This window comes from Homo sapiens, chromosome 12 (genome assembly GCF_000001405.40).
Source record: "Homo sapiens chromosome 12, GRCh38.p14 Primary Assembly".
In the NCBI taxonomy this organism is placed as follows: domain Eukaryota; kingdom Metazoa; phylum Chordata; class Mammalia; order Primates; family Hominidae; genus Homo; species Homo sapiens.
In genome coordinates this window covers 108,790,412-108,800,959 of record NC_000012.12, presented here as the reverse complement: position 1 = coordinate 108,800,959, position 10,548 = coordinate 108,790,412, and the positions used below count along the sequence as shown (strand labels likewise).

The following is a 10,548-nucleotide window of genomic DNA, read 5'->3' as shown; positions in this document are numbered from 1 at the left end:
CCAAATTTGTTTCTTATTTTTTTCTCATTGCAGGGTTGATTACATTTTAAATGTTACCAGAGAAATCGATAATTTTTTTCCTGGCTTATTTGCATATCATAACATCCGAGTCTACGATGAAGAGACCACAGACCTCCTCGCCCACTGGAATGAAGCGTATCATTTTATAAACAAAGCGAAGTAAGTGGACAGAGAGGCGGGGCTGAGGATGAAACCAACCTGCTGAGGCTGGGAGAGTGGGAATGAACGAGACTGCAGATGCAGAAGTCGGCTGGTGGGAGGGGGGATCCTAACGGGACTCCAGACGCAGGAGTTGGCTGGTGGGAGTGGACTTGATGTGGGATGGACCTTTGCTTTTAGTCGCAGGACTCCAAGCACCAAAGGAGAAAAGTGGTTGGTCCTCTCCAGGTAGAGTCCCTATTGAGCTTAGTCTCTCCCACCTATCTTTGATTGTGACACTTGACCCCAGTTGTCATCATCAGCTCTGATTCCAGGCAAGCCCCAGATACCAAGTGGACACTCAGGGGCCCCACCCCTAGGAAGTCACTGAGCCAAAGAGGGCTAGGGGATGACATGCACGGACACGGGCTTAGAGCTTCTTTGGGACTGTCTCCCTAAGAATACGGCCCTTCTTCCCTCCCTGAGTTACTGTCGCATGAAACAGGACAGCACGTTGGAGGTCATGGCCAGCCCCACTGCCCCTGAGCCCGTCAGCGGTTTCACCTGTCTCTGGTGCTCATTTTATTCCCCTGCGAAACAGCTCTGCCTTATTAAGAACAGAAAGAACCCTTTGAGATGCTGTCAAGACAATCACCCTCTTCTGCTTTATCTCCCTCTGGGTCAAAGCCACATGATGTGTCCTTAACCAAATCTTAGTTCCCTTATATTCCCAGGAGACAAACTCAAGACTCCCTTGACGGAAACTTCAGACCAGCAGTTAGGGGGAAAAAACCCCACTGAGATTTGCAGGAGAATTTCAAGGTTGGGGTATAGGAAACCAGAGCCGGCTCCCACCTGGTGGGTCTGCCTTCTGTACAAATAAAGTTTCGCAGGTGCTGCCCTTACTGGCTTGGCGCTCCTTCACATTCTTGAGCAAGTGATACTTAAAGAAACACTGTCTCCTGGGCCATATCTGGTAAATCAGCCAGGCCTGGGCCAGCACTGCCTCCTTACAAATAAACGGCCAGCCCCATCTTCCACTCCTGGCTTTTTTTTGCGGCCGCCCTTACTCCTGCTCCCTGGCCCTCCTGTCTGAAGAGCATCTCGCTCTCCCCAGGGCCTTGCAGCTTTCAGTTTGCTGACCCCATTTTTCTGCAGTAACTCATTCACTGTCTCCATCTGCTGTAGCAGCTGAGTAGCTCTTGCAGAAATCCCGTTAGCTGCCCACTCTCGTCTCAGGAAAGGGCTTTTGGTCCCCTAGCCCATCCCAGCCATGTGAGAAGATTCTCACTTGGTCCCTGAAGGCAGCCAAATATTGAAGCTCTCCCTGCAAACAAAACATGGCCAGGCCAGAACAGATTTCTTTTGATATCCCATTGTGTGCTAATTGATTCTACAGTGGTGGTATTTCCTTTAGAGAGTGCGTGGACATCTGCTCCGTAAACATTAAGACGTAGGAGGATTTCGGCAGTAAGATATCTACAGGGTTTAAAAAAATGATTCGGGTAAAACCTGAGAGAATGAAGTTGTTGGAGCTTTTTAACTCCTTCCCCACTGCTTCTCCCCCATCTCTCCTCCCCAACTGCTCCCACCCCTGCAGGAGGAACCATTCCAAGTGCCTGGTGCATTGCAAAATGGGCGTGAGTCGCTCGGCCTCCACAGTCATAGCCTATGCAATGAAGGAATTCGGCTGGCCTCTGGAAAAAGCATATAACTATGTAAAGCAGAAGCGCAGCATCACGCGCCCCAACGCGGGCTTTATGAGGCAGCTGTCTGAGTATGAAGGCATCTTGGATGCAAGGTGGGTGCCTGCCTGGAGAGAAGGGTTGGCAGGCGGAGCTGGAGCAGCCATGTGGCCAAGCCAGCCAGGCCTCTGTCGGCAGCAGAGCATGCTCCCATTCGGCCCAGCAGCCGCTTCCACAGCCAAAATCCTGCCTCTCAGGGGGAGCCAGTTTGAGAAAAACAACTATTGTTTGGGCTTTGATGAGTGGTTTCCAGGAGGGATCTGTTTTGATTTTCTTGGCACACACATAAAGCTGGTTTTGCTGCTGGAGGGAACGGTGCCTAGGTTCTAAGCCAAGGCCTGGCCTCGTGTGTGTGGCGTAAGCACGTGCGCATCTCGCTTCCTGGGCATCTGGTTTGTGCCAAGCCCTGTGCACCAGCTTTGCTGCAGGAAAAGCCAAGGACTCGGAGAGGCACAGCAACCAGGTTCCGCCACTGATGAGCAGGGCAAGTCAGGGCAAGCCCATCAGTCTTCCCGAGCCTCAGTTCCCTCTTCTAAGAATTAATGCCCACCTTAGCTGGGCCTGGGACATGCACTTGTAGTCCGAGCTGCTTAGGAAACTGAGATGGGAGTATTGCTTGAGCCCAAGAGTTCGAGTCTGCAGTGAACTGTGATTGTGCTACTGGACTCCAGCCTGCATGACAGAGCAAGACCCCATCTCTTAAACAAAAATGCTTTTTAAAACACTGAGGTCAGGTGTGGTGGCCCACACCTGTAATCCCAACAATTTGGGAGGCCAAGGTGGGTGGTCGCTTGAGCTCAGGAGTTCGAGACCAGCCTTGCTGATGTAGTATATTTTCTTGACCCCTTTTTGGGACACGTGACAGAGGTGCCTCATTTACCCAGTCCACCCCACTCAACCCCTCATGGGAGGGAGCGTACAAGCGAACTAGTGCAGGAACTGGGGTGAGCGAGTGGAGGAACCGGCCTCTTTGCTCTGGCAGGAGTGAACCCTGTGCAGGCCCCATGGCAGCATCCAGGTGTGGGTGCCTGTGACCCTAAGGCCTCAGAGGGTGTGTTATAATACTCCTTTAGCTCTGCCATCCACAGATAGCAGTGTGTTACCAGCTCAGTGGGCCCTTTGCTTCATCGTGTGAGGCAGCTGCCTTCTACCAGTGAGGGCAAAGGGCCAATGTGACAGCATTTTTGGGTACTCACACCTGGTGTGTCCTGAATTCTTGTCTGGTGCTCAAGAGGAATGAGGTCACATGGGCGAATTGAAGAATGGTGAATGTGGAGAATTTTACTGAGTGATGAAAGCAGCCCTCAGCAGAGAGGGGAGCTGGAAAGGGGATAGGAAGGGAAGGTCGCTCTCCCCTGAGGTCAAGCCACCTCTCTGCCTCGTCCAGCCTCCATCTTCTAAAGTCAAGCTGCCACTCTCTCCGACATCCAGGCACTTCTTCCTGACGTCCAACTGCTGCTTCTCTCTGCCAGCTGAGTCTGGGGTCTTTATAGGCACAGGATGGGGGTGGAGTGGGCTATAGGTAGTTTTGGAAAAGGCAACATTCAATTGGTAAAAAGACATTATTCAGAAAGAGCCAGTTGGGAGAGAGCAGGCACACAGGGTTGGGTGTTCTTACTCTGGGACACAGGTTTCAGGCTTTTCGGCTTGAAGGTGGGGTTTTGCCAGGGACCCGCACCTGTCTGCCTAGAATTTCTCTGCCTCCTATTGCTGTCATTGGCAACATGCTGAGACCCTGTCTCTACTAGAAGTACAAAAAAAAAAAGCCCAGCGTGGTGGCGTGCACCAGTGGTCCTAGCTGCTTGGGATGCTGAGATCAGAGGGTTGCTTGAGCCCAGGGGGCAGAGGTTGCAGTGAGCCGAGATTGTGCCACTGCACTCCAGTCTGGGTGACAGAACCAGACGCTGTCTGAAAAAGAAAACAAACAAACAAAACAATGAATGCTCACCTTAATGTGGATGTTAATGGTACAGGTGCTGTGGAAAACAGTATGGTGGTTCTTCAGAAAATTAGGGGCCAGGCATTGTGGCTCATGCCTGTAATCCCAGTACTTTGGGAGACCCAGGCAGGTGGATCACCTGAGGTCAGGAGTTCAAGGCCAGCCTAACCAACATGGAGAAACCCCATCTCTACTAAAAATACAAAATTAGCTGGGTGTGGTGGCATGCACCTGTAATCCCAGCTACTCAGGAGGCTGAGGCAGGAGAATTGCTTGAACCCGGGAGGTGGAGGTTACAGTGAGCCGAGATCACACCATTGCACTCCAGCCTGGGCAACAACAGCAAAACTTCGTCTAAAAAAAAAAAAAGGAATAAAATTATATCATCTAGCAATTCCACTTGTGGAAATATATCCAAAACAATTGAAAGCAGAGTCTCGGAGAGATATTTGTACATTAGTGCTTATAGCAACATTATCCACGATAGCCAAAAAGTGGAAGCAACCCATGTGTTCATTGATGGATGAATAAACAAACAAAACGTGACATATTCATACAATGGGATACTACACAGCCTTAAAAAGGAAGGAAAGACTGACACAGGCTACGACAGTCATGAACCTTCATGACATTGCGCTAAGTGAAATAAGCAAATCACGAAAAGAACTACTGTATGTTTCCATGCATATGAAATACTTAGAGAAGTCAAAGTCACAGAGAGTAGAATGGTGGTTGCCAGGGACTGGAAGAAGGGAATGGGGAGTTACTGTTCAATGGGTACCGAATTTCAGCTTTGCCAGAGACAGAGCATTCTGGAGACTCTAGAGGCTCTCTGGTTGGTGGTGATGGTTGCATAACATTATGAATGTATTTAATGTACACTTAGAAGTGGTCAAGATGAGGCCGGGTGTGGTGGCTCATGCCCGTAATCCCAGCACTTTAAGAGGCCGAGGCAGGTGGATCACTTGAGGTCAGGAGTTCGAGACCAGTCTGGCCAACAAGGTTAAACCCCGTCTCTACTAAAAATACAAGAATTAGCTGGGTGTGGTGGCGTGCACCTGTAATCCCAGCTACTTGGAAGGCTGAGGCGGGAGAATGGCTTGAACCTGGGAGACCAGGAGTTCAAGACCGCAGTGAGCCATGATCGCATCACTGCACTCCAGCCTGAGCAACAGAGCGAGACCTTTTCTCAGAAAGAAATACATAAATAAAAATTGTTTAAATATATAAATAAAAAGAGGTCAGGGTGGCAAATTTTATTTTTTTGAGACAGGGTCTCACTCTGTCACCCAGGCCGGATTGCAGGGTATGATCATGACACCTCAACCTCCCAGGCTCAAATGATTCTCCCACCTCAGCCCCCCAAACAGCTGGGACTACAGGTGCGCACCACAATACCCGGTTAATTTTTTATATTTTTTTCTGTAGAGAAAAGGTTTTGGTATGTTGCCCAGGCTGGTCTCAAACTCCTGGGCTCAATCGATCCTTCCACCTCAGCCTTCCAAAGTGCTGGGCCACCACACCTGGCCCAAATTTTATATTATATGTATTTTAGCTGTAAAAAAAAAAATTGAGGGTCAGGCGCTGTAATCCCAGCACTTTGGGAGGCCGATGCAGGCGGATCACCTGAGGTCAGGAGTTTGAGACCAGCCTGGCCAACATAGTGAAACCCCATCTCTTCTAAAAATATACAAAAAAAATTAGCCAGGTGTGGTGGCGTGTGCCTGTAATCTCAGCTACTCAGGAGGCTGAGGCACGAGGATTGCTTGAACCCAAGAGGCAGAGGTTCCGAGATCATACCACTGCACCCCAGCCTGGGTGACAGAGTGAGACTTCACCTCCAAAAAAAAAAAAGTTTTTAAAGAATACCCACCCAATAGAGCTGCTGTGAGGTTTGCATGAGTGCTATCTGTCAATCAAGCCAAATGACCGAGGCAAGTCTCAATCATTTTAGGAGGTTTATTTGCCATTGTTAAGGATGCACACCTGGGAGACACGTCTGTGCCTTTCTCTGAAGATAATTTTGAGGGCTTCAAATTTTAAGGGGAAAGGATGGGATATCGAGAAATGCACAATTTTCATGTGAAGCGGGGTAGGGGGAAGAGAGTCATGTATGCCTTCATCTGGCTCAGTGAATCTGCGTTTTTGCATAACATAGACAATAGAGCAGAGGAAACAATCAGATATGCATTTGTGTCAGATGGGTAGAGGGATGACTTTGAGTTCTGTCCTGTGTCTTCCTTCCCACCCACCCCCCACAATCTATGAAGATAGTGGGCAATTTACATTGCCATGGTGAATTTTAACCGAAAAGCTTTAGGGTAAAGATCTTGGGGACCGCAAGGAATTTCCTTGTGGGCAAGATATGAGGGAGGTGTGTAGCTTTTCATCTTCGTAGCCATCTTATTTAGGAATCAAAATGGGAGGCAGATTTGCGTGACCCACTTCCCGGCTTGACTTTTCCCTTTGGCTTAATGAGTTTGGGGTCCCAAGATTTGTTTTCCTTTTGCAGTGCTAAACAAGTTTACCTTTACAGATACTTCCACATCTGGCTTGTAGTAAATAATAAATGTAGCTTAAAGTCTCTGAACTCCCATCCTAAAAATTTCTGTACAGGTTATCCCCCTTTTACGAGGATCAGGGCAGGGATAAGGAGCTGACGCTGAGAGGTTGACCTATCCCCCATACACAGCCAGTGGGCGGCAGGAGGGAGAGGTACACCGCGGCCCCTCACTCAGCCTCTGAGTCAGGGTGCTGTGTGCAAAAAGCCCTGCGGTTCTGTCACCCACACGGGGTGGTGGGGGAGGTCCTCACCGTAGTTCCAGTACCCCAGGCTCTCAAGTTGGAAGCCCAGAGCCTGGGCGGCACTTTCTCCCGGTTCCCTTTCCAGTCAGTCTGTACAAGAAGCAGGCCTCCCTGGGAGATATCAGTCTGGTGTTGGAAGGAAGCCACAGGCAAAGTCTACCAGCCTCTTGGCCAAGTTTGGGAATGCAGGAGTGCCCTAGCAGAGTTAAACAGGGTCCAGAGAACAGGGCCGGCCAACTGTGGACTCCTTCACTGTCGGAAGGGCTGGACAGGTCCCCAGGCAAGGCCCAGAGGAGGAGGAGGAAGAGCGAGCATCTCACTGACCTCTCCCTGAGCCTGCCACGCACTCAGTGCCCTCTGCAGCCTAAGCCAGGCGCTCCAGGCCAGGTTCATAGCAGCGTGGCAGTGACCTTGAGTAGCTGCTGGCTGGGATGTGCACACCGAGCAGAGAGGATGAATGGCTCTGTCACACTGTGCTCTTACATTTACCTCTCTCTTTTTAACCCTCGCAAGCCTGTGATACTGGTATTACTTTAAGGTCCTTGAGGGTGACTTAGTTACCTTATTTCACCGTAAACTTTTTTTTTATGCCTTACATTTTAAAAATGTATTACAGGGCTTGGTGCAGTGGCTCATGCCAGTAATCCCAACACTTTGGGAGGCTGAGGTAGGAGGATCGCTTGAGACCAGGAGTACAAGACCAGCTTGGGCAACATAGCAAGACCCTGTCACTACAAAAAAAATAATTTAAAAATTAGCCAGGGATGGTGTCACATGCCTGTAGCCCCACTTGGGAGGGTGAAGTGGGAGGACTGCTTGAGCCCAGGAGTTTGAGGCTGCTGTGAACCGTGATCACACCACTGCACTGCCTGGACCACAGAGTGAGACCCTCATCTCAAAAAAAAAAAAAAAAGGGATTATAAAAACAATGTCATCATAGTAGAAGAAATTGTTTAAAAACTGACCTAAACCTAAACAAATACTTTCTAGTTTTCCAGGATCTTCCCAAATGCATTGCAGTGCGTTATGTGTGTGTATAGTTGTATTATCGTGTATAGATCTGTACATACTCCACTTTGATTCCCTTCATTTCCCTACAATATAGGTAGGAGAGCGTTGTTATTCTTATTTGACAGAGAAATGAGAGATGGAGTGTAACTGACGTGACAATGAGGCATCACTAAACACAGATACACAGATTGAAGTCTAGACGCCCCCGCGTTCCTTCCCCGTTGTCATCAGAGGCAGAAAGTCACATCAGGCTTCCTGTGCGAGCCTGGACAACTTAGGAGCCAGTGCTGTTTCTCATCCTTGTGTTTCTTGGGAACAAATGAACAGAGAGAGGCTTTACCTGAATGAGCCATGGATCGTCCCTGGCGCCCTGACCTTGGGCAGCCCCTCACTGGCTCACCGCATACTCTTCCCAGCACCCCCAGGCACCATCCTCCTCCCCTCACCTTCCTCTACCCTCTCTCCCCGCAGCAAACAGCGGCACAACAAGCTGTGGCGTCAGCAGACAGACAGCAGCCTCCAGCAGCCTGTGGATGACCCTGCAGGACCTGGCGACTTCTTGCCAGAGACCCCAGATGGCACCCCGGAAAGCCAGCTGCCCTTCTTGGATGATGCCGCCCAGCCCGGCTTAGGGCCCCCCCTCCCCTGCTGTTTCCGGCGACTCTCAGACCCCCTTCTGCCTTCCCCTGAGGATGAAACTGGCAGCTTGGTCCACCTGGAGGATCCGGAGAGGGAGGCTCTGTTGGAGGAAGCTGCTCCACCTGCAGAGGTGCACAGGCCGGCCAGACAGCCCCAGCAAGGTTCCGGACTCTGTGAGAAGGATGTGAAGAAGAAACTAGAGTTTGGGAGTCCCAAAGGTCGGAGCGGCTCCTTGCTGCAGGTGGAGGAGACGGAAAGGGAGGAGGGCCTGGGAGCAGGGAGGTGGGGGCAGCTTCCAACCCAGCTCGATCAAAACCTGCTCAACTCGGAGAACCTAAACAACAACAGCAAGAGGAGCTGTCCCAACGGCATGGAGGTAGGCAGAGCCCGGCCTGCAGGGTGGCACACCCCATCCCTTCCATCCCACTCTAATTGGCCTACCTCAGCCTCTGTAGTAGGGACTACAGGCACCCGCCACCACACCCAGCTGATTTTTTTCTATTGTCTCCTCTGGGCCCCCAGCTCCCATCTCCAGGGACCTGAGGGTTCTTTCACAGGGTGATTCTGCTGGTGGGTACGTAGTGCATACCTTATATAGCAAATTGAGAATCTGTTGGGAATAACACATATCTCTGCACACCATCTTCACCCCATGTACCTTATTCATACCCTGGGCAGGGCTTCCAACTCAATTTCTTTTTGTGTATGTAAAATTAAAACATATAATTTATCAGCCAACTTCAGCCTTTATCGATATATGACTATTCTTTTTCATCTCACCCCTACCACCCACTTCCCCACACCCCTGATGATCCTGGAACCAATCCCAGATTTAGATATAGATACCTGTATCTAAAAAATATATATTATAGGTATATACTGTAGATATAGATAGATACATACTATAGACAAGTTCTCACTGTTTCCCATGCTGGAGTACAGTGGCATGATCACGGTTCACTGCAGCCTTGACCTCCCAGGCTCAAGTGATCCTCCTACCTCAGCCTCCTGAGTAGCTGGGACCACAGGCGCATGCTACCACACCCGGTTAATCTTTTCTATTTTTTTGTAGAGATGAGGTCTTACTGTTGCCCAGCCTGGTCTCAAGCCATCTGCCCACCTTGGCTTCCCAAAGTGCTGGAATTACAGGTTTGAGTCACCACGCTTGGCCTCAGATATATCATTTTATTCATAAATGCTCCAGTATGTTAACATAGCCACAATACCATTGTCACCTTTTAAAAAAACTGATAGGGCCAGACGCGGTAGCTCACATCTGTAATCCCAGCATTTTGGGAAGCCGAGGCAGGCAGATCAGGAGGTCAGGAGATGGAAACTATCCTGACCAACATGGTGAAACCCTGTCTCTACTAAAAATATAAAAATTAGCTGGGTGTGATGGTGCATGCCTGTAATCCCAGCTACTCAGGAGGCTGAGGCACGAGAATTGCTTGAACCCAGGAGGCAGAGGTTGCAGTGAGTCAAGTTCGTGCCACTGCACTCCAGCCTGGGTGACAGAGCGAGACTCCGTCTAAAAACAAAAACAAAACTGATAGTAATTTCCCAACGTTGTCAAGTATCCAGCCTTCCAACTTAGACTCTAATACTTAACTCCATTAGTCTCTTGGAGTTGCCATTTTTAGTGGATTATCTGCCACAAGGTTTGAGCTTCAACCTGGTGCTTACTGAGAAATTGGTTAATTCCAGCCAACCTTTTCCCTCCTCCATGGGGGAAGTGATGCAGGAGCAGAGGCTGGTTCAGTGGAAGGGTGGCCGTGCAGCCTGGTCTCCACTTCCACCCTTGCCCTGCTGCTGACTTTGTTGCCTCTGGCTTCACCTGCCCATCTCACAGGACAGCCGTGGTTCTCAAGTGGGGGCACTTGGGGTCCTGACAGATGCATTCAAGTATACAGCCAGTTTATTATTATTAACAGCATGTTATAATGCAAACAAAACTGGGCAGTTGCATCTGTCGACCTCCATAAAGCATTCCAAATCAAATACTAATTATGGATTTCCCCCACTTCCCTGCCTACCACAAAGCAAATACCCATAAAGACAGATGAGATAAAACCCTGGGCCAGGTGCAGTGGCTCACGCTTATAATCCCAGCACTTTTGGAGGCCAAGGCAGGCAGATCATCTGAGGTCAGGAGTTTGAGACCAGCATGACCAACATGGTGAAACCCTGTCTCTACTAAAAATACAAAATTAGCTGGGCATGGTGCCGCACGCCTGTAATCCCAGCACT

The 10,548-nt window shown here is 49.7% G+C and overlaps 1 protein-coding gene across 16 annotated transcripts in view, besides 3 other annotated features; it reads left to right on the top strand.

Annotated features, from left to right (window-relative positions):
- Positions 1-10,548, top strand: part of SSH1 (slingshot protein phosphatase 1) — a 79,393-nt gene that overhangs the window by 56,624 nt on the left and 12,221 nt on the right. For 11 of the 16 annotated variants that reach the window (XM_047429022.1, XM_005268985.3, NM_018984.4 and 8 more), the window contains 3 exons: positions 34-180; positions 1,760-1,960; positions 8,131-8,674. In XM_047429022.1, coding sequence (XP_047284978.1) covers positions 34-180; positions 1,760-1,960; positions 8,131-8,674 — 892 coding nt within the window. Of the gene's footprint in view, positions 1-33; positions 181-1,759; positions 1,961-8,130; positions 9,042-10,548 lie in introns of those variants that run through there. The other 5 variants (XM_047429023.1, XM_011538499.2, XM_047429024.1 and 2 more) reach the window with 3 other exon arrangements.
- Positions 2,094-2,595: an enhancer, noted in NCBI's record as "H3K4me1 hESC enhancer chr12:109192141-109192642 (GRCh37/hg19 assembly coordinates)". NCBI's record gives its function as "activates a minimal SCP1, AML or CMV promoter by ChIP-STARR-seq in naive H9 embryonic stem cells {active_cell/tissue: H9 hESC(naive)}" and the evidence as "EXISTENCE:reporter gene assay evidence [ECO:0000049][PMID:30033119]".
- Positions 6,417-6,927: an enhancer, noted in NCBI's record as "H3K27ac-H3K4me1 hESC enhancer chr12:109187809-109188319 (GRCh37/hg19 assembly coordinates)". NCBI's record gives its function as "activates a minimal SCP1, AML or CMV promoter by ChIP-STARR-seq in naive H9 embryonic stem cells {active_cell/tissue: H9 hESC(naive)}" and the evidence as "EXISTENCE:reporter gene assay evidence [ECO:0000049][PMID:30033119]".
- Positions 8,296-8,796: an enhancer, noted in NCBI's record as "H3K4me1 hESC enhancer chr12:109185940-109186440 (GRCh37/hg19 assembly coordinates)". NCBI's record gives its function as "activates a minimal SCP1, AML or CMV promoter by ChIP-STARR-seq in naive H9 embryonic stem cells {active_cell/tissue: H9 hESC(naive)}" and the evidence as "EXISTENCE:reporter gene assay evidence [ECO:0000049][PMID:30033119]".